The sequence below is a fragment of the Homo sapiens genome, chromosome 6 (assembly GCF_000001405.40).
Source record: "Homo sapiens chromosome 6, GRCh38.p14 Primary Assembly".
Classification (NCBI taxonomy): Eukaryota; Metazoa; Chordata; class Mammalia; order Primates; family Hominidae; genus Homo; species Homo sapiens.
Genome location: NC_000006.12, coordinates 73,673,996 through 73,700,558, shown reverse-complemented (window position 1 = coordinate 73,700,558; position 26,563 = coordinate 73,673,996). Strand labels below are relative to the sequence as shown.

At 42.0% G+C, this 26,563-nt stretch overlaps 1 protein-coding gene and 1 long non-coding RNA gene across 7 annotated transcripts in view, besides 5 other annotated features; one reads left to right on the top strand and one right to left on the bottom strand.

Moving 5' to 3' along the window:
• Positions 1 to 21,367, bottom strand: part of CD109 (CD109 molecule) — a 149,122-nt gene extending 127,755 nt beyond the window's left edge. For 3 of the 6 annotated variants that reach the window (NM_133493.5, NM_001159587.3, NM_001159588.3), the window contains exons 1-2: positions 4,270 to 4,356; positions 2,987 to 3,159 (exon numbers count right to left, since the gene is read on the bottom strand). In NM_133493.5, the coding sequence (NP_598000.2) occupies positions 2,987 to 3,159; positions 4,270 to 4,343 (247 nt within the window). In that variant the 5' untranslated portion in view covers positions 4,344 to 4,356. Of the gene's footprint in view, positions 1 to 2,986; positions 3,160 to 4,269; positions 4,357 to 21,317 lie in introns of those variants that run through there. The other 3 variants (XM_047418211.1, XM_047418212.1, XM_047418215.1) reach the window with 3 other exon arrangements.
• Positions 3,799 to 4,513: an enhancer, noted in NCBI's record as "H3K27ac-H3K4me1 hESC enhancer chr6:74405769-74406483 (GRCh37/hg19 assembly coordinates)". NCBI's record gives its function as "activates a minimal SCP1, AML or CMV promoter by ChIP-STARR-seq in primed H9 embryonic stem cells {active_cell/tissue: H9 hESC(primed)}" and the evidence as "EXISTENCE:reporter gene assay evidence [ECO:0000049][PMID:30033119]".
• Positions 4,187 to 4,236: a silencer, noted in NCBI's record as "silent region_17339". NCBI's record gives its function as "represses an Ori minimal core promoter by ATAC-STARR-seq in GM12878 lymphoblastoid cells {active_cell/tissue: GM12878}" and the evidence as "EXISTENCE:reporter gene assay evidence [ECO:0000049][PMID:35858748]".
• Positions 4,428 to 6,656, top strand: CD109-AS1 (CD109 antisense RNA 1). Its single transcript, NR_110889.1, has 2 exons — positions 4,428 to 4,727; positions 4,984 to 6,656. It is a non-coding gene; the product is annotated as a CD109 antisense RNA 1 (long non-coding RNA).
• Positions 4,467 to 4,726: an enhancer, noted in NCBI's record as "active region_24755". NCBI's record gives its function as "activates an Ori minimal core promoter by ATAC-STARR-seq in GM12878 lymphoblastoid cells {active_cell/tissue: GM12878}" and the evidence as "EXISTENCE:reporter gene assay evidence [ECO:0000049][PMID:35858748]".
• Positions 24,799 to 25,093: an enhancer, noted in NCBI's record as "tiled region #11313; K562 Activating DNase unmatched - State 12:CtcfO". NCBI's record gives its function as "activates a minimal TATA promoter and a strong SV40 promoter by Sharpr-MPRA in K562 cells {active_cell/tissue: K562}" and the evidence as "EXISTENCE:reporter gene assay evidence [ECO:0000049][PMID:27701403]".
• Positions 24,799 to 25,093: a silencer, noted in NCBI's record as "tiled region #11313; HepG2 Repressive DNase matched - State 12:CtcfO". NCBI's record gives its function as "represses a minimal TATA promoter and a strong SV40 promoter by Sharpr-MPRA in HepG2 cells {active_cell/tissue: HepG2}" and the evidence as "EXISTENCE:reporter gene assay evidence [ECO:0000049][PMID:27701403]".

Sequence of the window (26,563 nt, the reverse complement as noted above, 5' to 3'; positions counted from 1 at the left end):
AATCTATTGTGGTTTGGGTAAAACACCTCCCTATCCTGAGGATTTCTAAGAAATCCAAAACTGCTGGAAATAAGCTACTAAGACACAGTCTACTGCCTTACCCAACTTTACTAGAAGATAAATCTTTATTAAAACCAACCTTCTGTTGGGGGGCTGGGGGTGGCTCATAGGAAAATGAAACAATCAGGCTCATACCCATAATCCCAGCACTTCGGGAGGCTGAGGCAGGAAGATCGCTTGAGCCCAGGAGTTCAAGACCAGTCTGGGCAACATAGCAAGACCCCATCTCTACAAAAAAAAAAAAAATTTTAAACCTAGCATGCTGGCACTTGCCTGTAGTCCCAGCTGATTCAGGAGGCTGAGACAGCAGGATCACTTGAGCCCAAGAATTCCAAGTTGCAGTGAGCTATGATTTCACCACTGCACTCTGGCCTGGGCAACAGAGTGAGACTCTGTCCCTTAAAAATAAAAGGTATTTATTTGTTGGTGTTTGGTGTTTATGTGATGGAGAAAAAACAAAACATGAATCCACATCCAGATACTTGAAGATCCAGACCCCTGATTTAGAAGTCCTGGTTTATCTACATATTGTTACAACTGGAGAAGCCAGATAAAGCAAAGGATGTGAAGACAAGCAGGGAGAAGTGTCTTGATCCTCAAGTCCTCACATTACAGGAAGCATCTGCTCTGAGAACAATAACTCCCAGCCTCTGATAATACAGTAACATTCTCCTTTGAAACAGGAGAGTGCTCCTAGCAATGGCATTTTCAATGAAACTCTATGTCAATAGAGTCAAAAACAGCCCATGAAAGAAGCAGCGTTTTCCCTCCTTCCTTCCCACAGATCCATTCTGCTCCCAGGACAGCTTTGCCCGCCCCAGTCTTGAGTACTTGAACTTTCCTATGGGCATACAAGGAACCCTTCTCCCAAAAGAAGATCTAAGAATAAAGCTGAAAACCAAGCCACAACAACATGCACCCCAATGTAGGTACTATTTGTTGCAAAAAAAAAGAGAGACTGATAACAGAGATCACAGAAAAGACCTAACAGGTGAAATTCTAGAATTAGAGTATGTAAATGTCCAAGCAAAGCTCAAATATTTATCAAAAACATCCATATATATTCTGGATCTCTGCATTGCAGGAAAACTGCCACACTAGTGGAGCCAATATTATAAATTCTTTTTTTTTTAACTTTTATTTTAGTTTCAGGGATACACGTGCAGGTTTGTTATATAGGTAAAATGCCTGTCATAGGGCTTTAGTGTACATGTTATTTCATCATCCAGGTGATAAGTGTGGTACCCAATAGGTGGTTTTTTAATACCCTCCCTCTTCCCACTCATAAATTCTTAATGAATAAATAATGAATGTGGAACTACCTTAAGTATTATGTCCTGTGATTTAATATTTCAATATTTTCTTTAGCGACTATCATAAGATCAGGGGTCATTCATTTTCAGAAATGATAGTCCAATAACGAAAGTTGAAGTCTGCCCCCATGTAAAAAGGAAATGGACTTTCTGCATCCTCTTCTGCAGTATTATTACACTAATAATATTAGCAATTGTTGTTTATTGCATGCCTAAGAGGTACTATATACAGATTTTAACTTTATAACTGCCCTGGGAAATCAGTTTCATTATTTCCATTTTATAGACAAGGAAACTGTGGCTCAAAGCAGTTAAGTAACCTACCTAAGATCATACAACTAGTAGCAAAGTAGTACCAGGATTCAAACTCAGATCTTAAGGGCTAACCTATACTTCCCCTCCAGGGAAATAAGACCTCCCACTTCCCTGACATTGCTTCTATGAGGGACAAAAGTGACTTGCCCCTACACACACCATCTCTTCCTGACTCCTATTCCAAATATACCTACCCAGTGAACTTCCAGTGGGGAAAGAACCACAGATGCAGATAAACTTTTACTTTTATTTCATTTCATGATGGTGTTCATTTCTCTACGCTTGTAGAGAATAAACACTTATGTAATGAATACCAACCACCCTTCATTACGTGCCTTAAATTTTTTTTTTTAAATAACTCTTAACATTATAAAAATGTATGTCTCGGCCAGGAGCAGTAGCTTAGGACTGTAATCCCAGCACTTTGGGAGGCCAAGGTGGGTGGATCACTTGAACTTAGGAGTTCGAGACCAGCCTGGGCAACATGGTGAGAGCTTGTCTCTAAAAATAATTATAAGAATCTAAAAAAAGAAAAAAATGCAATAAAAGTTCATTTTAATGAAAAATGTTTTAAGTATTTAAGTATTTACCTCTTCCTCCCAAAATTATTTTTCCCTTAGCACTGAAAAAGAAGACATTCATTGGCCCAATTTAATCTTGGGCCATGTCAGAACCCAAACTTGAAACAAGAACCAAACTTGGTTCTGCTACAAATGGCTCCCACTTTCACACTATTTTCTTTTTTTCTCTTGTTACTTTAAAACTTAAGAAATATTCCATAAAACTGGATTTTAACTATTGTGTAGCTTTTCCTTTCCTTCCTACAGGCCTATTCTGTAAAATACTTTGCACTCAATAAATATGGTTTTGTGTTAGAGACTAGCCCATTTCCTCTTCTGGGGCACACATTAGCCTACACTTCCCAGCCTCCCTTGCCTGTGAATATGAGCAGTAGTGATGTAAGCTATTTCTAGGCCTATCCCATAAAAACCTTCCATATGCTCTTCCCATCCTCTTCCCCTTCTCCCATGAAGAAACTCCATGATCTTCCCCTGCAGTCTTGGGAGCCAAGTGATGATAATGGAGCCACAAAATGGAAGGAAACTGGGTCTCTGAATCTGCACTTGGAAGAGCATCCAGGAACACCATCTAGGACTTTACATGAGTGAGAATTAAAAGTATATTAGGTAAGATACTGCAAATTTGGGGTTTCTCTGCTATACTACCTAACACATGACCTTATTAACATATTCCAGTTATTACTGCAGAAGGGTAAGACTTTATGCTGTTTATCTTACCTTTTTCAAAGACTCCTTCTGCTTCCAGGACAGAGACAGTGAGGTTTGATGCTGTCTTGAGCAGCTCCGCCTTCACAGTCACCTGTGAAGGGCAGTGTTCCAGAAGCTCCACCCCAATAGTCACATTTCCTCCGGGCCTGATGATCCCTGGGGCTGTCACCAGAAACCGAGGCCTAAAGAGTTCCCAACAAGGGAAAAACAAAGTTTCTTATCCTCACATCTCCTTTCTTTTGTGACCCTCAGATTTCCTAGTGCGATAGGCACTCCATACTGCGCCAATTGCAGTTGTTTCCGTTAACATTGCCCACTGCTCTATTTGGCAACTGAATTGAAATGCTACTGAAACAACAATAATTCCCATAAATCAATTTTAATGCAGTAATTCATGCATCACTACTAGAGGAAGGCCTGTGTTATTATTTCCATTTTATAAACCACGAACCGCACAGAAGGAACCATGATGTAAATGGCTTGCACCGGGGCATAATGGAGTTATTGGCAAAGCAAAAGTCTCTAAGCTTCTCCTTTACAGAGGACCTTATCCCAGCGTGATTATTTTCTTGTTGTTGTTGTTATTTTTTAACTAAGATTTTGCCTGTTTCTTATTCAAACCTTTATCCTTGAGTAGCTGCCCAACGAGGGTAAAAAATTATTTAACCAATACCATTGATTGAAATATACCATTTGAAAATAAACTACAACTGGTGAAAATTCCAGGTATAGCGAATCATAAAAGAAGTCACTAAAGCAGCACTTTCTCTGCTATAACTAGGGGTTAGGGCTCAACTACAGAAATCTTTAGGAATGAATGGGGCTTGCCATTATTGGGTGCTGTTGTTTTCTTCCTATAATGTCTGCCCCTGAACCCATACATCAGTCCCCTCCGCCACACTTTGGCAATGCTAAGGTTGAGACATCTTGGTTAGAAAAAATATATCATGTCTTTGAGAGAAGAATCGCAATCTGGGAGCAAAAAGTTGAGAAGCAAAAGGCAGAGGCAATGTGGACTAAAAATAAAATGACTCTCTTCAGAAAGTTGTTATGGCCGGGGAGACGCTTAAACAACTTCATGAGTGGAGAAAGTTAACTGTCCCATGGAGAGCCACGCTGAAGCTACATATGGTCAAACCTCCAGGCCAGTACCAGGCTGGGGACTGCAGCCGCGAGGGCATTTCCCACCCGCTGCTGCACAGCAGCCGCCACCTCCCCGAAGCCCTGGCCCAGAGCCGCAGAGCGGCCCAGGCCCGCGCGCCCGCGCGCCCCCCGCGCGCCCACGTTCCTACCCGGGAGCCACGGCCAGCGCGGCGGTGCACACGCAGAGGAGGTGGGCGGCGGTCAGGAGCGGTGGGCCCTGCATCTCGACGGCGTCTGCCTGGGCTACAGTCCGCTGCCGGGGAAGTTCGCGGGCACCGTGGGGTGTGGCTTGCCACCTCCTCCCTGATTTTTTTTCCCTCTTAATTCGAGTTTAGTAATCTGAAATGGGCGCGCCTAACAGCAGAGTGAGAGATCTAAATTGAGACAGGACTTGGAGGCTCCACCCCTCCCATCCCCATTACAATGGCGCTTCTCGCTGCTGTGGCAAACATCGCAAATCCAGGGGGTGAGAAAGCAGTTGCTAAACGCAGGCGGCCCCACCTGGCCCGGCGTCCCAGCTGGCCGCGGAGAACAGAGCGCGCCCACTTCCCCGGCCCACCGGGTTCCTCAGGCTGTTTACACTAGCGCTCTACCAACGATGCCCAGGGTGAGTAAACAGGCCCATCCTTGTGAGGAGAAATTCATAGCAACTATGTGAAGTGGAAAAAAGTCAATCATTGTCCTCCAGACTATGAGTCAGAATTTTAGAGAAACGGCACACACACACACGCACACACACACGCACGCACACGCGCGCAAAACCGGGGCGTATTTCCTGGGTAGTTATTTAATGTATATGAATGGAAACAGAAAAACTATTTTTCCTTAAAACAAAAAATGAGGTCTACTGCTTTCCTTTCCAGGAAAATGTTATGATTTATCACCTTAAAAAAAAAAAGAAGAAGAGAACTCGCACTGCAGACGTTAGGTGTTGCTACTTGGAACCCTGAAAAAAAATTACCTAAGAAGATGCCTTTATATTTTTGCTACAGAAAGAATTTGGTAGAACTGTAAAGCTTGGAGCAATCTCTGAACACAGTTAGGGTTGGGTTGGCTCTCCTGTCAGAATGAAGGCCAGTGGCCGGTGGTGCCCAGGAGTTATTGATGCCCAACGCTGTCTGGCTTCTTTGCAGCTCCTCTCTCCTGCTCTCTGGCACTGCCACCATCTTCAGATGACTCAGGTTTCACCATGACTACACCATAAAAGCAGGGAACTGCCAGAAACTGTTGGAAAACAGACACATTCAGTCCCTGACAACTTAAACTTTCTAATTCATGGAGCGGTTTTAGATGGTAGCATTCTAATATGGGGCAAAATGCAAACGGAAAAGAGGTCAGCAAAAAGATGTCTCATGACAAAGCTATGTGCTAAATAAGGAAAAGTGAGAAAGTAGCACCTAGACAAACTGTGGTTTGGGGAATCCAGAAACTTGCTTTCCTCCCTTTCCTGTTCCACCCTTTTTCTCCCTGCTGAACAGCTTGCAAAGGTCCTTATGTCCTTTCCTTCAGGCAGCCTATCTTTAGTGGCCAACTTCCTGTGCAGGCAGGACTTAGGAATGGTCAAAAGTGTCTGTGTGGATCCCTGGGTGCTGACCTGTTCCTGACACAGCTGTTACTACTGGTCTCCTCACCTCCGTTGTTCAGAGAGGAGGACCATGGTCAAGGGTGGGCCAAGCACCAAGGTCTAACTCAGTGCTTCTCACATGCCAATGTGTGTGAGAATCACATGAAAACAGACTCTGACTTGGCAGGTCTGGAACGAGGACTGGGATTCTGCTTTACTTTAGCAGACAGTAGGCCATGGAGACTCTACAAGTGGGGGCAATTTGGGGGCAATTTGATGAGCAAAGGCAATTAAGAACACAGAAAATTCTTCTCAATCTTTCACTTCATAAAGGTGGATTAATAAATTCAGGTTCATTCTAGAGGTAGGCAAACATAAGAGGGACTGCAAAAGATTAGATGATAATGTTGCCTCCCGAGAAGACTTACAGAAAGTCTTAGAACCACATTGTATAAATCTGTGTGGATTTTAAAGTGATGCCACCTTCCTGTTTATGCCCTCCTTCCCACAATACACACTTGTCGAAAGGCGTAGTCATGCAAAAATTTAGGCATATGGATTTGCATAGAGATGAGGCTATTACATGCCTGGCACAGAGTAGCTATTCAATAAAAATGTGTTAAAAGGATTAATGAAAAATGTTCATCTCAGAAGTGGGATTTTTTATTAAGAAAAACTGAAAATGAGGCCAGGCGTGGTGGTTCACACCTGTAATCCCAGTAATTTGGGAGACCGAGGCGGGTGGATCACCTAAGGTCACGAGTTCGAGACCAACCTGACCAACATTGTGAAACCCCATCTCTACTAAAAATACAAAATTAGCCAAGTGTGGATGGTGGCACATGCCTGTAATCCGAGCTACTCAGGAGACTGAGGCAAGAGAATTGCTTGAACCTGGGCGTTGGAGGTTGCAGTGAGCCGAGATCGCAGAATTGCTCTCCAGCCTGGGCAACAAGAGCAAAACTCCGTCTCAAAAAAAAAAAGAAAAGAAAAGAAAGAAAAGAAAAAAGAAACACTGAAAATGGGCCGGGCATGGTGGCTTATGCCTGTAATCCCAACATTTTGGGAGGCTGAGGAAGGCAAATCACTTGAGGGCAGGAGTTCAAGACCAGCCTGGCCAAAATGGTGAAACCCTGTCTCTACTAAAAATACAAAAATTAGCCCAGCATGGTGGCACATACCTGTAATAAAAGCTACTCAGGAGGCTGTGGCATGACAATCACTTGAACCCAGGAGGTGGAGGCTGCAGTGAGCCAAGATGGTGCCACTGCACTCCAGTCTGGGTGACAGAGCAAGACTCTGTCTCAAAAGAAAAACTGAAAATGGTCTGAACATGTAACAATAAGATATTGGGTTTGCTGTCATTTGGATGTTTGTCGCCCAAAGCTGATGCTGAAATTTGATCCCCAGTGTTGGAGGTAGAGCACAATGTGAGATGTTTGGGTTCTGTGGGTGGATCCTCATGAATAGATGAATGTCCTCCCTGGGGGTCGGGGGGTGAGTGAGTACTCAGTTCCCACAAGAATTGGTTGTTAAAAAGAGCCTGGCACCTCCTGCTTCTCTTGTTTCCTCTCTCACCATGGGATCTCTGCACACTAGCTCCCCTTCCCCTTCCACATGAGTGGAAGCAGCCTGAGGACCTCACCAGAAGCCAAGCAAATGCCAATGTCATGCTTCTTGAACAGCCTGCAGAATTGTAAGCCAAGTAAACTTTTTTTTTTAATAAATTACCCAGCCTTGGGTACTACCTTATAGCAACACAAAACAGACAAAAACAGGATTAAATAAATTACAGTATATCCATGCAATGGAATACTGAAATAATTAAAAACTATTTGTTTAATTGGAGCTTGTTTAACCATCTAGAGACAAATATTCATATGTTATTAAGGAGGGTATATTAGTCTGTTCTCACCCTGCTAATAAAGACATACCTGAGACTGGGTAATTTATAAAGGAAAGAGATTTAATTGATTCACAGTTCCACATGGCTGGGAGGCCTCACAATTATGGTGGAAGGCGAATGTGGAGCAAAGTCAAGTCTTACATGGTGGCAGGCAAGAGAGCATATGTAGGGGAACTCCCCTTTATAAAACCATCATATTTCGTGAAATTTATTCACTATCACAAGAAAAGCATGGGAAAGACCCACCCCCAAAATTGAATTACATCCCACTGGGTCCCTCCCGTGACATGTGGGAATTATGAGAGCTGCAATTCAAGATGAGATTTGGGTGGGGACACAGCCAAACCATATCAGAGGGGAAGTCTGTTTTATAAAACAGAATTTAAATTTCATTTTATTTTTATAAAAAATAAAGTGTATTTATGTGTACATAGACATTACAGATCTATGCACTGAAGAAAGACTTGAAGGATATTCACCAAAATGCTATTATCAGTATCCTGGTGATTACCTGGATATGCCAAGTTTCCTACAATAAATATATATTATATCTCCTTTAAGAAGAAAACAATAATAATATTATTTTAGTAAATAGTTTTTGAGGGGGCATCTTAGAAGCTCTTTTGCATAAAACTTCTGAATTTTGATACCAAAAATATCATCTATGCTTATTGCATGAAAACCTAATGGTCTCTTGGATAAGAACCCCACACTGTTCCTGTGTCCCTCCTGAGCTGTCTTTAAGGTGTTGATATGGTTTGGATCTGTGTCCCTGCCCAGATCTTATGTCAAATCCCCAATTTCGGAGGTGGGGCCTGGTAGGAGGTGATTGAATCATGGGGGCAGATTTCCCCCGTGGTGCTGTTCTTGCGATAGTGAATCTTCATGAGATCTGGTTGTTTAAAAGTATGTGGCACCTCCCCCCACCTCTTTTGGTCCTTCTCCTGCCATGTAAGATACCACGAGCCCATACATCAGCCCCTTCTGCCATACTTTGGCAATGTTAAAGTTGAGACCATGAGTAAAAGCTCCCTGAGGCCTCCCTAGAAGCAGATGCTGACATGCTTCCTATATAGCCTGTGGAACTGTGAGCCAATTAAACTTCTTTTCTTTATAAGTTACCCAGTCTCAGGTGTTACTTTATAGCAATGCAAGAACAGAGTAATTCAATGAGAAAGGCAGAACCACTATGAGTGAGACAGACCCTAAGCAATCATGGGAGCTGGTAGGGCAGTTTGTGCAAACCATTGCCCCTGTGTGTGGTGTGCAGCATAACATAACTATGAGTCAGCCAGGGGAGAAAAGCTAAATGTGGGTAAGAATAAAGAAAAACTGATTGAGAAGTGGAACCCATGTCCATCTTACCACCTCCAACTTCCATGTCATGAGTAACCTGCAGGAGAAGCTGGTGTCCTTTGTCCAGAGCTTCATGTACATTTGGCCCACAATTCAGAAAAACTGAAGGAAGAGAGCCTCTGAGAACTAAAGGAGCTACAGGCCTGACTGTGGCCCTGAACCCACAAAGTGAACTGGCACATTAGTAACAGTATGGACAAGTGTTCCCAACTGCCTAGCACTCTAAACCAAGCTTCAGAAAGTAAAAAATACAGGTGTATGGGGTACCCCACCTCCCCTTTATAGTCTGCTCTGTCCATAACACCAGCTGGAGGCTTTCCTGGGGCCACCTGAGTCCAGGCCCCAATCAGATGGACATTGGAAGGGGTGAGACCAGGACTGGCAGGGAGCAGTTAGTTGCCTTTCTAGTCTCCCTCCCTAGCCATGCACTTTTGCCTTTAGAAAAATGATGGGGAAAACCTTGGCTCCTTCTTTGTCCAGAAAGTGTTAATTGCCTGTGGGTTCTGGTGGCCGGGGAGAAGAGCAGGAAAGCAGAGAGCAGGTGGGTGGCTGAAAGGGAAGAGGGGAGGAACACGGCAGAAACATGAAGGTGACCCTATCTATTCCCCTGGAGAAGGGGTGAGAGGTCAGGTAGAGTAGCTGCTCAGTACACAAAATGTAGAAAGATGATGAGAAAAAAAAATCTGCTACAGTCTTACCACTACCCAGAGACAAGCATTATTTCATTTTGTTGTGTTTCCTTCCTCTCTTTCTTTCTCCACATAATTTGCTGGTATCTTTTTTAAAGAGTAATTATGTTATAAATATAATACAACTTTGTGCTTTGTGTCCTACTTTTCCCATTTAATTATTCCATCATAAGCATTTCCTCATGTTTTACAAACCTTTTTTAAATAAAATGTTCATCAGCTGCAGCCGGGCACGGTGGCTCACGCCTGTAATCCCAGCACTTGGGAGGCCGAGGCGGGCAGATCACCTGAGGTCAGGAGTTTGAGACCAGCCTGACCAACATGGAGAAACCCCGTATCTACTAAAAATACAAAATTAGCAAGGCGTGGTGGCACATGCCTGTAATCCCAGCTACTCAGGAGGCTGAGGCAGGAGAATCTCTTGAACCTGGGAGGCGGAGGTTGCGGTGAGCCGAGATCACACCACTGCACTCCAGCCTGGACAACAAGAGCGAAACTCCGTCTCAAAAAAACAAACAAAAAAAATGTTTATCACCTGCATAATAAAACAAACAAAAGGAATAAAAACATTTTCAGAAATGGAATGGCTCAGAAACTTCGCCTTTCACAAATTCATTTTAGGAAGTTACTTTAGGAAGACATATTTAGCAACGAAGTGAAATAAGCCAAGAAAAAGGGAAATGTATATATAACCCCAGAAAAAAATGAAGAGAGAACTTCTAATAGGAAAAATTCCAGGAGTAAGCTCTTAAGGGAAATAAAAGGGATCTTAATCGAATAGATGTACATAATGAAATACAAGAAAACTGAGACTATGATAAAGTAAAATAGTGCAGTAAAAAGGAAGGGAATTTAGAAATTCAAGGGAAAAGCAAACACTGAATAAAAAAGAATATATCATGATTCATTAGTTGGCTTTGCAGTGAAAAATAATTAGTTGTGTTGATGTAAGTATGGTTTACTGATTTATAACAGAATAAAAGAATTGACAAAGAAGATTTAATTACACTGTTTCACCATTTCTAAAATATATGTTTTTCACATTTGTAACATTTCTGATCTTATAATCAATGGTATCATAATAATAATTGACAATAAATTTTCTTTCTTGGTATTAAAGTAAGTGGTGTATCTTAGATTTGATGAAATATGTGAAATACACAATGTTTACAAAACAATGTAAATGGTGTTAATACTTGAAAAGAGCACAGATGACAAAAACTTACAAAGTCAAAGAGGGATGAAGAATTAAAGCATTGACTGAGACACTAAGAGCCTTATAAAGTAAAAAAAAAAAATGTGTCTACAGTTTTCTTGGATCAAGAAATATGTCATAAGCATATTAAGACTATAAAGTAGTGTAAGGATATAAGAAAAACTGAACCAAAGTGGTTTTCCCACTTTTATACACTCAATATAACACACTGGCCACCAAAATGCATAGAAGAGCTTCTCCCATGCTGACCAAGCAATCAATTCTCTGGCAGATTCTACAGCAGACTCAGCTGAGCATCCTCTAAGTCAATTCAATCCCAACACAAACTACCTGGAAATAGCAGCAGATCCCCTAGGTTGAGGGTTCCTTCCCATAAGACTGCCCCCAACCTTAGATGCCAATCACAAACTCAGGTTGTGACCTGTGCTTCTGATCCAACAGCTATAAATTGGGGTTCCCACAATCCCATCCTTGGGTTTGGTTAATTTGCTAGAGCAGCTCACAGAACTCAGGGAAACTATGTTTCCCAGTTTATTAATAAAGGGTATAATAAATGACCTCTGCCAATTCTAGTTTGGAAGTTGAAAGATGTCGCCCAATGGAATAATTTATAAACTAATTAATTAATTAACAGAAGCAGCTGGGCTTGGTGGCTCATGCCTGTAATCCCAGCACTTTGGGAGGCCAAGGCAGGAGTACTGCTTGAGCTCAGGAGTTCGAGACCAGCCTGGGCAACATAGCAAAACCTTGTCTCTACTAAAAATCAAAAAAATTAGCCAGATGTGGTGGTGCGTGGCTGTAGTCCCAGCTACTTAGGAAGCTGAGGTAGGAAGATCACTTGAGTCTGGGAGATTGAGGCTGCAGTGAGCTTGATTACACCGCTGCACTCCAGCCTGAGTGACAGAAGGAGACCCTGTCTCAAAAAAAAAAAAAAAAAAAAAAAAAACAAAGAAAAACTCTCAGAACCCTATAATCCAGGAATTTTTATGGAAGCTTCATCAAGTAGAAATAATTATTAATGCCATTTCCAGCCCTTCTCCCCTCTCCAGAGGATGAGGGTGCACTAGAAGTTCCAGGCTTCTAATCATAGCTTGGTCTTTCTGGTGACCAGCCTCTATCCAGCAGCCTACCAAGAGTTACCTCATTAGTACAAAAGACTCTCTCATCGCACAGAAAATTCCAAGGGATTTAGGAGCTCTGTGTCAGATGCTAACACTTAGGAAATTACAAATGTCTTTGGAGCTCTGTGTCAGGAACCAGAGCAGAGACCAAATATTAGAACAAAAGATTCTCCTAGCACCCCTATCTAACAGAGTATTAAGAACTCTGTTTCAAGAACCAGAGCAGAAACCAAACATTAGAATGAAAGATTCTCCTAGCACTCCTATTGCTCAGGAAACTACAAGAGTTTTAAGAACTCTGTGCCAGGGACTGGGGGGCAGAGACCAATATGTGTATTTTTTATTGCACAACAGCCAATTAGAAATTAAAATACTAATATATTATCATAAATAGTAAAAGCAAAGGTATGTTTTCCAAAAAAAATCTACCAGACAAAAAGAAATCACAATTAATTTGAGTTCTTACAAAGTTTCTAGTGTTCTTCTAGTGCATGATTTTAATTACTATATTTTGAACAGCAAAGTACTATCTGGGGAAGATACATTAATCTGAGATGACATCTGCCAATGCCAGTTGGGAGTTTCTCACCTAATGGGACAATTTGTAAACTTATTAATCTATTAATAAGCAAAGAAACAACCTCAAAATCACACCAACAATAAACTTTTGCTTCAGATCCCAAGTTTGCAGGCCAGCTGAGGCAGTTCCCACTTTGTGTTTCTCCTTTTCCTTGGAACAGTAGTCTGGGAAAAGCACGTCCTTCTTGCGGTCATGGTAGAAGCACAAGAGAACAAGCCCCACTGCTCAAGCACATTTTAGGTCCCTGTTTACTTGACATCTGTGAAGATCCTGTTGCCCAGAGCAAGTTTCATGGTCAAGGACCAAGTCAAGGATGGGTAGAATACTCCACCTTTTGGTTAGAGGAACTGCAAACTTAATTATGTGGGAAAGGATATGGATGGGAGAAAATTGGGACAAATAATTCAATCTACCACAGACAGTTAGCAAAATTTGCCAAAAGCTGTGTTCTGTTCATCAAGACAATGTTTCCATGAAGGACAATTAGCCTATCAAGGAAGGAAGGAAAGAAGGGGAGGAGAGGGAAGGAGAGGGGAGGGGAGGGTAGGGAAGGGGAGGGGGAAAGGAAGAAGGGAAGAGAGAGAGCATGCATGTGAAAGAAGGAAGGAAGGAGAGAGAGGAGAAAGAGAAAGAAAGAGGAAGGAAAGAAAGACTGAAGGGAGGAAGGAGTATCCAATGTCTAAAATCATGCATGGTTTTTTTTAGTTATTCACTTTTGGAGGATGCTGCAATATGAACTCATTAAAGGTAAAGAATTAACCTTTATCCTGCCTTTCCTACGTGAACTGATCACTGGGTAACCAAATAGTAGATATGAGGGATTTCTCTCTATAGTTTTCCAACTAATAAATGTAAAATTAATGTTAGAATAGCACCATATCACTACTCTTTGTGAATTAATAGATCTAGACCAATGCTGTCCAATAGAACTTTCTGTGATGATGGAAATGTTCTGTATCTTATACAGTAGCTATAACCAACATGAATTTATTTAGCATTTGAAATGTGACTGATAGGCCAGGTGCAGTGGCTCACATCTATAATCCCAACACTTTGGGAGACCCAGGCGGGTGGATCACTTGAGGTCAGGAGTTCAACACCAGCCTGGCCAACATGGTGAAACCACATCTCTACTAAAAATACAAAAATTAGCTGGGCATGGCAGCAGGCACCTGTAATCCCAGCTACTCAGGAGGCTGAGGCAGAAGAATCACTTGAACCCGGGAGGCGGAGTTTGCAGTGAGCTGAGATTGTGCCACTACATTCCAGCCTGGGCAACACAGAAAGACTCTGTCTCAAAAAAAGAAAGAAAGAGAGAGGACTGATATAACTGAGAAATTGAATTTTTAATTTAATTTAATTTAATTTATATTTTTAAGTAGCCACATGTGGCTAATAGCTACCACATTGGATTGTATAGACTCAGCAGTGATCATAAATGGCTGCTAATATCACAAAGGGAGATATTCAGATACTATATGCCGCCCAGTAGAACAAAGCACCACCTAAGAAGTGGTCTTGCCAAAAATTCTAAACTGAATCTGATTAAATTTCTAGATTTAAATGCCAATTTGCAAGGAAATGTGAAGGAACGTATTAAACATCACACAGATGTATTAGCAAAATTCAGACTGTGCAAAACACTATCAAACAAATAATCCAATTCCTTCAACAAATAAATTTCAAGGAAAAATAGAGAGGACATCAACAAGATGCTGGAATAGGAGTTTCCAGGGCTCATCCCCTCAGAGACACATCAATTTGAACAGCCATCCACACACAAGAGTACCTTCACCAGTGCTGAGGACTCCAGGTGAGAGATTACAGCACCTAGTTGGAGCACAGAAACAATAAAAGACACATTGAAGAAGGTAGGAAAGACAGTTTCACATTACTCAAGTTACCCCTTTCCCAAGCCTACTCAGCACAGCATAGCACAGAGAGAGAAAAGCCCACAGCTAATATCATGCAAAATGGTCAAAAGCTGAAAGCTTATCCTTTAAGATCAGGAATAAGACAAGAATGCATACTCTCATCACCTTCACTCCATATAGTACTACAAGTCCTAGCCAGAGCAATTAGCAAAGAAAAAGAAATACAAAGACATCCAAATCAGAAAGGAAATAGTAAAATTGTCTCTGTTTGCAAAGATGACATGATCTTATATATTTTCAGAAACCTGATGTAACTCAGGAATGGAAAACCAAATACTGTATGTTTTCACCTATAAGTGAAAGCTAAGCTATGAGGATGCAAAGGGATAAGAATGATATAATGGACTTTGGGGACTTGAGGGGATGGACAACAGAGGGTAAGGGATAAAAGACTACATATTGGATACAGTGTGTGCACTGCTTGTATGACAAAATCTCAGAATTATCACCACTAAAGAACTTATTCATGTGACCAAAAACCGCCTGTACCCCAAAAACTATTGAAATAAAATTTTTTAAAAATTGTTTAATTTTTTTAAACCCTAAGGATTCCATACAAAAAAAAAGTTAGAACTAATAAATTCATTGATGTTGTATGATACAAAATCCACAAACATTGATCTAGACAATGTTTTTTTGCATATAACACCAAAAGCACAGGCAACAAAAGCAAAAATAGACAACTGGGATTGCATCAAACTAAAAAGCTTCTGGAAAAAAAAATCATCAGAGTAAACAGACAACCTATTGAATAGGAGAAAATATTTGCAAACCATATATCTAGTTAGTAAGGGGCTTATATCCAGAATATATAAGGAACTCAAACTACTCAATAACAAGAAAACAACCCAATAAAGAAATGGACAAAGCAGGCTAGGCACAGTGGCTCATGCCTATAATCCCAGCACTTTGGGAGGCTGAGGCGGGTGGATCATGAGGGCAAGAGATCAAGACCATCCTGGCCAACACAGTGAAACCCCGTCTCCACTAAAAAATGCAAAAATTAGCTGTGCCTGTAGTCCCAGCTACTCGGGAGGCTGAGGCAGGAAAATCACTTGAACCTGGGAGGTGGAGGTTGCAGTGAGCCAAGATCATGCCACTACACTCCATCCTTTTGAGATTCCACCTCAAAAAAAAAAAAAGAAAAAAAAATGGGCAAAGCAAGAATTTGAGACCACATAGGCAAAATAGTAGGACTTTTGTCTGTACCAAAAATAAAACTAAAAAGACTAGCCAGACATGGTAGCGTGGTCCCAGCTACTCAGGAGGCTGAGGCAAGAGGATCACTTGAGCCCAGGAGTTTGAGGTTACCGTGAGCTATGATTGTACCACTGCACTCCAGCCCAGGTGACAGAGTAAGATCCTGTCTCTAAAAAAGAGGGGAAGGGGGAGGAATTGAGTAAACATTTCTCAAAAGAAGACATATAAAATGGCCAACAGGTACATGAAAAAATGTTCAATACCACTAATCATCAGGGAAATGCAAATCAATACCAAAGAGATATCACCTTATACCTGTTAAAATGGATATCATCAAAAAAAGACAAAAGTTGGCCAGGTGCAGTGGCTCACACCCATAATCCCAGCACTTTGGGAGGCTGAGGCAGGTGAATCGCTTGAGCCCAGGACTTTGAGACCAGCCTGAACAACATGGCAAAACCTCATCTCCCCAAAAAAATACAAAAATTAGCCAGGAGTGGTGGCACTCAGCTGTAGTCCCAGCTACTTGGGAGATTGAAGTGGGAGGATCATCTGAGCCTGAGAAGCCAAGCTTGCAATGAGCCAAGACTGCATCACTGCACTCCAGCCTGGGTGACAGAGCAAGACCCTGTCTCAAAAAAAAAAAAAAAAGAAAGAACGACAAAAGAAAAGAGAAAACAATACAGAGGCTCCTCAAAAAATTAAAAATAGAACTACTGTATGATCCAGCAATCACATTTCTCAATATATATCAAAAACAACTGAAATTAGTATCAAAGAGAGATCCATACTCCCATGTTCATTGCACCATTGTTCACAATAGCCAAGCTATGATATCAATCTAAATGCCCATCAACAGATAAATAGTGATATGGTTTGGCTGTGTCCCCACCCAAATCTCATCTTGAATTGTAACTCCCACAGTTTCCAAGTGTCATGGGAGGAACCTAGTGGGAGGTAATTGAATCATGGGAGCAGGTCTTTCCCATGCTGTTCTAATGATAGTGAATAAATCTCATGAGATCTGGTGGTTTTAAAAATGGGAGTTCCACTGCACAAGCTCTCTCTCTTTGCCTGCTGCCATCCATGTAAGATGTGACTTGCTCCTCCTTGCCTTCCACCATGATTATGAGGCTTCCCCAACCACATGGAACTGTAAGTCCATTAAACCTCTTTCTTTTGTAAATTGCCCAGTCTCGGGTATGTCTTTATCAGCAGTGTGAAAACGGACTAATACAGTAAATTGGTACCAGTAGAGTGGGCACTGCTGAAAAGGTACCCAAAAATGTTGAAGTGACTTTGGAAATGGGTAACAGGCAGAGGTCAGAACAGTTTGGAGGGCTCAGAAGAAGACAGGAAAATGTGGGAACGTTTGGAACTTCCTAGAGACTTGTTGAATGGCTTTGACCAAAATATTGATAGTGATATGCACAATGAAATCCAGGCTGAGGTGGTCTCAGACTGAGATGAGGAGCTTGTTGGGAACTGGAGCAAAGGTGATTCTCGTTATGTTTTGGCAAAGAGACTGGTGGCATTTTGTCCCTGCCCTAGAGATTTCTGGAAATTTGAACTAGAGAGAGATGATTTAGGGTATCTGGTGGAAGAAATTTCTAAGCAGCAAAGCATTCAAGAGGTGACTTGGGTGCTGTTAAAGGCTTTCAGTTTCAAAAGCGATACAGAGCATAGAAGTTTGGAAAATGTGCAGCCTGACAATGCAATAGAAAAGCAAATCCCATTTTCTGAGGAGAAATTCAAACCAGCTGCAGAAATTTGCATAAGTAATGAGGAGCTGAATGTTAATCACCAAGACAATGGGGAAAATGTCTCCAGGGCATGTCAGAGAACTTTGCAGCAGCCCCTCCCATCACAGGCCTGGAAGCTTAGGAGGAAAAAGTGATTTCATGGGCTGGGCCCAGGGTCCCTGTGCTGTGTGCAGCCTAGGGACTTGGTGCCCTGTGTCCCAGCCACTCTAGCAGTGGCTAAAAGGGGCCAATGTAGAGCTCGGGCCGTGGTTTCAGAGGGTGCAAGCCTCAGCCTTGGCAGCTTCCATGTGGTGTTCAGCCTGCAGGTGCACAGAAGTCAAGAATTAAGGCTTGGGAAAGATTTCAGAAGATGTATAAAAATGCCTGGATGCCCAGGCAGAAGTTTGCTGTAGGGGTAGTGTCCTCATGGAGAACCTCTGCTAGGGCAAGAACCTCTGAAGGGAAATGGGGGATGGGAGCCCCCACACAGATTCCCTACTGGGTCACTGCCTAGTGGAGCTGTGAGAAGAGGGCCACGTCCTCCAGACCCCAGAATGGTAGATCCACCCACAGCTTGCACTGTGTGCCTGGAAAAGCTGCAGACACTCAACATCATCCAGTGAAAGCAGCCAAGAGGAAGGCTGTACCCTGCAAAGCCACAGGAGCGGAACTGCCCAAGACCATGGGAACCCACCTCTTTCATCAGCATGACCTGGATGTGAGACATGGAGTCAAAGGAAATCATTCTGAACTTTTAAGATTTGACTGCCCCACTAGATTTTGGACTTGCATGGGACGTGTAGCCCCTTTGTTTTGGCCAATTTCTCCAATTTGGAATGGCTGTATTTACCCAATGCCTGTACCTCCATTGTATCTAGGAAGCAACTAACCTGCTTTTGATTTTACAGGTTCAGAGGCAGAAGGGACTTGCTTCATCTCATATGAGACTTGGGACTGCGGACTTTTGAGTTAATGCTGAAGTGAGTTAAGACTTTAGGGGACTGTTGGGAAGGCATGACTGGTTTTGAAATGAGATTTGGGAGGGGCCGGGGTGGAATGATATGGTTTTGCTGTGTCCCAAACCATACCTCATCTTGAATTCCCACATGTTGTGGGAGAGTCCTGGTAGGAGGTAATTGAATCATGGCAGGGGGGATCTTTCCCATGCTGTTCTCATGATAGTGAATAAGTCTCATGAGATCTAATGGTTTTTAAAATCGGAATTTCCAGCCAGGTGCGGTGGCTCAGACCTGTAATCCCAGCACTTTGGGAGGCTAAGGTGGGCAGATCACCTGAGGTCAGGAGTTTGACCTCAGCCTGGCCAACATGGTGAAACCCCATCTCTACTAAAAATATAAAAATTAGCCAGGTGTGGTGGTGTGCACCTGTAATCCCAGCTACTCAGGAGTCTGAGACAGGAGAATCACTTGAACCCAGAAGGCGGAAGTTGTAGTGAGCCCAGATTGTACCATTGCACTCCAGCCTGGGTGACAAAAGCGAAACTCCATTTCAAAAAAAAAAAAGTGGGGGAAGTTTCCCTACACAAGCTCTCTCTTTGCCTGCTGCCATCCATGTAAGACATGACTTGTTTCTCCTTGCCTTCCACCGTGATTGTGAGACCTCCCCAGTCACACGGAACACTTTTTCCTGTATAAATTACCCAGTCTTGGTGTGTCTTTATCAGCAGCGTGAAAACAGACTAATACAATAATACCATATTGTATTCTTGAAATATGCTTAAAGAGTGGATCTTAAATGTCTCACCACATACACACACACACACACACACACACACACACACACACAAATGGTAACTGTAAGGTGATGGATATTATAATTAGCTTGTCTGTGGTAATTATTCCACAATGTATATGTATATCAAACATCACATATATCACATTGTATACCTTAAATATATAAAATTTTGTCAATTTCACCTCAATATCACTGGGGTAAAAAAGAGAGAGAATAGAACAAAGCCATGGATTTAAATGGACTTTTGGTTTTCAGACACTTTCTATGTAACTACCAACTTGTCTTACGAGGGAGCACTGCAGATGGGCCACTGAAAAGCTATCCATTCCTTTCCTGTGCTGTGTATTCCTTTGCCAGAGTCTGGAAAGCAAAAATAGGCAAATTTCTAGGCTCAATCCAGCTAGACGTGTCCATGTATGGTAATCCTGGATAAGGAGATGTAAAATGAAGACTGAAGAGAAAGCATTCTCTTCCTGAATGGAGACAACACCTCAAGGGAACCAGTCTTTGGCTCTTCCACTTTTGTCCTGCCCAGAACCCAGGCGCCGTGCTTTGAAACTCAGAAGACAAACGACACCCAAGAAGGGAAGATTGGAATGAGAGGTAGAAAGCACTGGATCACTAAGTGCACAATTAAGCAGTTGTAGCAGCCCTGGACTGGGCCAAATGCCCTCTTCCCCATCAATCCACCTCTTTGCAGGAAGGAAGTCCTGACTAAGTGCCAGACTTTCAGGCATGGACCTTTCCCCTGCAGGAGTCTCTCTTTGGGCAAGATTGGCCAGCTACGTGGAGAGTCTACCATTGCCTCAAAGCTCTCTCTTCAGCCACTGCCCTTTCACTGCTCATCCAGAACACAAAAGCTCATTTTTCACATCCTGTCTGCCCCCACAAAATACAACGAACACACCCTTGAGGTCAATTATTTCTATCAAGGTTAAGCTGTCTTGGCTTAGGGGCAATTTCTCCACCCACTCTTAAATATTTTTAAGTATGCCACACCCTTACACTGGCATATTTTAGTCAAAGGTATCATCAATCAAGCTTCAATGGCTGTTATAAGATTATATTTACCTCCTTATGCAAAAATGTGTTTGCCTGAACTTCTAGCAATTCAGATTTCTTCAAAAAGAATTGTATAAAGAAAAAGAATAAAAAATAATATAATTACATAAATCTGTATGTAATATAGTTAGGAAATAGACATTGTAGAAATATAAAAATGGCTTGAAATGGAAACAAACCAAATAGAAATGAATCACGAATTCACTCATATCTCTGGGTTTGTGGTCTTGGCTTTACATTCTTAAGTTACCTGCCTCCAGATCTTGGGCTGAATCCTTTATCAGCCACATATAGTTTTATTTTCCTCTAAAACAAAACACTATGATAAACTTTCCACGTAAAACATGGTTCACCAAAAACAACACTGAAAAACATCTATACCCGGGTGTAGTCACACACGCCTGTAATCCCAGCATTTTGGGAGGCCAAGGGAGGCAGATCACCTGAGGTCAGGAGTTCGAGACTAGCCTGGCCAACATGGTGAAACCCCATCTCTACTAAAAACACAAAAATTAGCTGGGCATGGTGGCTCGTGCCTATAATCCCAGCTACTCAAAGGCTGAGGCACAAGAATCACTTGAACCCAGGAGGCGGAGGTTGCAGTGAGTCGAGATCGTGCCGCTGCACTCCAGCCTAGACAACAAAGGGAAACTCCATCTCAAAAAAAACAAAAAACAAAAAAAAACAGAAAAGAAAAGAAAAACATCTATGATTTTTCTCTCATTTGTTTTCTCTATTTTTTTCTCATTTGTTTTCTCTATTGTTGCTAGTACTGAAATATAAAATGCTGCCTTTCCCTGCTTGATAAAATATTAAACTTTTTTTTTTAATTATCCAAGGGTACAGGATTAGGGACGTTTTAATTGTAAACGGCAGAAACCTTTAGAAGTGGGCTCTAAAACCTTTTGGAATATAACTTTTTTCTCCAAAATTTATATTAACAATGGTGATTCCTTTACATTTCACATGACATTCTACAAGCAAAATATACTTTGTTAGACTCAGTTCTGACATTATCTCATCCATCCTGGCTGGACTTGCCTTGCCATGCAGTCCCCACTTCAAGACTCACCCTGAGCCTGCGTTGTTCACACACACTTGCCACATTTTCACTTCTGGTCACCCTGCCAGGCTCAGCTCTAAAAATAGTAAAAGAATTTTTAGCTTGAAACATGGGCACCCAAAATTAACTACATTTCCCAGTCGTACTTGCAGCTGGGTGTGGCCATGGAGTTGTTAGTGAAAATAGTGTGTGCATCCTTTGGGAAATGTCCCCAAAGGGCGGAGGCATGTCATTTCCCTTTCTTTCCCTCTTTCCTTCTAGTGGAATACAGACATGGTGGCTGGAGCTGGAGCAGCCATCTGGAACCAGTAGTTTGACTTTAGAAAAGGAGGCCATGATGGCCGGGCGCGGTGGCTCATGCCTGTAATCCCAGCACTTTGGGAGACCGAGGCAGGGGGATCACATGACGTCAGGAGTTCAAGACCAGCCTGGTCAACATGGCGAAACCCCGTCTCTACTAAAAATACAAAAATTAGCTGGGTGTGGTGGCACGCACCTGTAATCCCAGCTACTCGAGAGGCTGAGGCAGGAGAATCGTTTGAACTGGGAGGTAGAGGTTGGAGTGAGTCAAGATTGCACCATTGCATTCCAGCCTGGGCAACAAGAGTGAAACTCCAGCTCAAAAAAAAAAAAAAAAGAAAAAGAGGCCATGCCCAGTAATAGAAGTCTAAGTCCCTGACTCCTCTGGAATTCTTTTTTTTTGTTTTGTTTTTTCTTTTTGAAGTGTCTTGCTCTGTCACTCAGGCTGGAGTGTAATGCCTGGATCATAGTTCGCTGCAGCCTCGAACTCCTGGGCTCAAGTGATCCTCCCACCTCAGCCTCCCCACAGGGACTACATGCCACCACACCTGGATAACTTTTTTTATTTTTAGTAGAGACAAGGTCTCACTGTGTTACCCAGGCTGGTCTTGAACTACTGAGCTGAAGCAATTGTACCTCAGCCTCCCAAATCCCAAAGCGTTGGGATTACAGGTGTAAGACATCACACCTGACTCCTCCGGACTTCTTTTTTCTTTTTCTTTTTCTTTTTTTTTTTTAAAAAAATAATATAATTACATAAATCTGTATGTAATATATTTAGAAAATAGTCATTGTAGAAATATAAAAATGGCTTGAAATGGAAACAAACCAAATAGAAATGAATCACGAATTCACTCATATCTCTGGGTTTGTGGTCTTGGCTTTACTTTCTTAAATTACCTGCCTCCAGATCTTGGGCTGAATCCTTTATCAATCCTTTAAAAAAAAAAACAGGGTCTGCCTGTGTCACCCAGGCTGGAGTGCAGTGGGGCAATCTCAGCTCACTGCAACCTCTGCCTCCTGGGCTCAAGCAATCCTCCCACCTCAGCCTCCCAAGTAGCTAAGACCACAGGTGCATGCTATTACACCCAGCTAATTTTGTAATTTCACCATGTTGCCCAGATTGGTCTCAAACTCCTGAGCTCAAGTGATCTGCCCGCCTCGGCCTCCCAAAGTGCTGGGATTACAGGCATAGCCACCACTCCCCCACCCTCCTCTGGACTTCTTGTGAGAGAAATAAAAATCTATCTTGTTTAAGCCATTGCGACTTTGAGTTTTCTATCACTCACAGAAAGAGATAACTAATGTACTACATGTATATCAATTTGCTGTGTATCCTTCCGTCTATTTCCGAGTTCTCATTTCTCTTCCATTGATCTGTTCGTGTATCACTGGGCCAAACACCTCATGCTTTAATTAATATAATTTTGTGTTAGGTTTTGATATCTAATAGGCAAAGCTCCTCCCTTAGTTCTTTTTCAGAATTGTTTTTGACTGTTCTTAGACTGTTACTCCTCCATTTGAATTTTAGTCTGTCTAGTTTCAGAGGAAAAAGTGTGGCAGCATTTTTATTGCCATCATGTTTCCATTTAACTTGTAGATTAACTTAGAATCAACACCTTTATGAAATTGAATGAGCATGGTATAGTTCCATATTTATGTTTTTGTGTACTACAATAATATTTTGTACTTTACTCCATAAATGTCTACGTACCCTATGTCAGATTTATATGCCTAATGTTCTTGTAAATGGTGTATTTTATTTTATTTCATTACCTGATGGGTTATTGGTGATATACAAGATTTTTTGCATGTTGGGCTTGTATTCAACAACCCTATTGAAATCTTATAAGTTCTAAAAGTATGTCTGTAAAGTCTTTTGAATTTTCTTCCTTTCTTTTTCTTTTTTTTTTTTTTTTTTTGAGACAGGGTCTTGCTTTGTCACCCAGGCTGGAGTGCAGTGGCACAATCACGGCTCACTATAGCTTCAAACTCCTGGGCTTAAGCCATCCTCCCACCTTAGCCTCCCAAGTAGCTGGGACTAAAGGCATGAGCCACCATGCCTGGCTAATTTTTTGTATTTTTAGTAGAGACAGGGTTTCACCATATTGCCCGGGCTGGTCTCAAACTCCTGAGCTCAAGCAATCTGCCTGCCTCGGCTTCTCAAAGCGCTAGGATTACAGGCATGAGCCACCACACATGGTCCTCTTGAATTTTCTATTAATTTGTTTCCATAAAGAAACCACAGGGAAATGAAAAAAAAGTAAAAGTGAATTGCCTTGAGTGTGAATAGCACTAAGAGTCTCAAAATAGAAGTGTAGTATAAGTAAGAAGTTCAGGTGCCAGCCGTAGAGCCTCATCAATAACACAGCAACAGGACTAACAAGGCAACCTTGGAATACTGAGCAAGGATATAAAATAGCTCACCTCAGGGGGACAGGCTAGCACTGGAACCAGAAGTCAGGCCATGAAAGACAAGAGCTGGGGTGGAAGGAGAGAGGGAAGGAGAGAGTCTGGGAAGATTCAAGAACCAGAGGCAGTAGCTCAACCAGACAACAACGTCACTCCCATGGAGGTCATTTATGGCAGATCAATTTGTCAGTCTCCAAAATAGAATTTGTTCAATATAAAAAGCTTGAGAGCAAAAGTTTCTTTATTTTGGTTAAGATACTGGCCTTCCCCTCCCAATACTGGAAGTAATAACATTACAAAGGAGAAAAGAGTAAAGTAAAAGATAAAAGATCTGGATCCTTACCAGGGAAGGATCCCTGAAAGCCAATTCAGCCTGAAACCTTTGACTTCTCATAAACAGTGAAAAGTGGAGATAATTCTATTGGGCTGCAGTGTCTCTCCAGGGACCGTAGTTAATACTTTCTTTACAATTCCCATCACCACTTCTGGGTTCTATGGTGTTTTGTTTGTTTTGTTTTGTTTTTTAATCTTCGTTACATGTTTATATGGGTTTTCAGAAGTGACTCAAAATTTTAGACTGTGACCCCTGTACATTCCAGATGTCTCTCTAAGGACACCTGGAATAACAGTAAGATAATAATTTTCCTCAATAAGACACTTAGTTTTTTGTGTATGAAGGTCTAAAGCAGAAATGAAGAATAGTCATTGGGGCTGAAGGTCCATAAGGTGACAGACACTTGAGTTCATCTACATTTTACATTCTGAATACAGGAAAAGCCTGCTGCAGCTGGTCATCATCATGCTGGTGTCCATAGAAGTCAGTCAGAACACTGTCCAGTTTCCCTAGCAGCTGCCATTCTGCACCAGCCTGCCACCTAGTGGTCAAGGAAGTTGATGCAACATATTATTGGAGATAACACAGGAACCCCATATAGCCTCATCCTTCTCTCGTGTCTCAGAGTTAATGATTACTGGGTAAAATCAAGGGAAAGAGAACAGATATTTCTGTTACAAGCCAGCAGCAGTGGCTTGCACCTGTAATCCCAACACTTTGGCAAGCCGAGATAGGAGGATCGCTTGAGGCCAGGAACTCAAAACCAGCCTGATCAATATAGCGAGACCCCATCTTTATATATTTAAAATTTAAAAATTTGATATATATATATATATAAATTGTGTGTGTGTGTGTATATATATATACATATTATATATATACACATATTTTATATATATATATATATATATATATATGATATTTCTGGCCAGGCTCTGTGGCTCACCCCTGTAGCCTGTAATCCCTGCATTTTGGGACACTGAGGCAGACAGATCATTTGAGGTCAGGAGTATGAGACCAACCTGGCCAACATGGTGAAACCCTGTCTCTATAAAAAATACAAAAATTAGCTGGGCAAGGTGATGCACACTTGTAATCCCAGCTACTTGGGAGGCTGAGAGAGGAGAATTGCTTGAGCCCAGGAGATCGAGGTTGTAGTGAGCCAAGATCACACCACCGCACTCTAGCCTGGGTGACAGAGTGAGACTCCATTTCAAAAAAAAAAAAAAAAAGATATGTCTGTAACAATGTTTCTTAGTCCATTCAGGCTGCTGTAACAAAATAGACATAAACACAGAAATTTATTTCTTACAGTTCTGGAGGCTGGAAGATCAAGGAGCTGGTGGGTTCAGTGTCTGGTAAGGACCCTTTTCCTAGTTCATAGATAATACTTTCTTGCTGTGTCTTCACATGATAGAAGGGGCAAGGCAGTTCTCTTGGGGCCTCTTTTATGAGGGCACTAATCTCATTCATGAGGCCTCTGCCCTCATGACCTAATCACCTCCCAAAGCCTCCACCTCCTAATACCATCACATTGGTGATTAGGTTTCAACATACGAATTTGGGGTAGTGGGTGGAAGGACATAAACATTCAGACCTTAGCACAGTGTGACAATGGTAATACAGTTATTGATAAAACTATGAAAAGATGCTCCTAACTGTAAAAAAAAAAAAAATTTTTTTTTAAGTAATTTTTTTTTCAGATGGAGTCTTGCTCTGTTGCCCAGGCTGGAGTGCAGTGGCACAATCTCAGATCACTGCAACCTCTGCCTCCCAGGTTCAAGCTATTCTCCTGCCTCAGCCTCCCTACTAGCTGGGATTACAGGTGTGCGCCACCACACCTGTCTAATTTATTTGTATTTTGAGTAGAGATGAAGTTTTACCATGTTGGCCAGGCTGGTCTCGAACTCTTGACCTCAGGTGATCTGCCTGCCTTGGCCTCTCAAAGTGCTGAAATTACAGGCATGAGCCACCGCGCCCAGCCAAAAAAGTAATTCTTTTATTTTTTTCTTGAGACAGGGTCTCACTCTGTTGCCCAGGTTGGCGTGCAGTGACATCATCTTGGCTCACTGCAACCTTGGCCTTCAAGGTTTAAGTGATTCTCCCACCTCAGCCTCCTGAGTAGCTGGGATTACAGGTGAGCACTACTGTGCCTGGCTAGTTTTTGTTTTATTTATTTATTTATTTATTTATTTATTTATTTATTTAT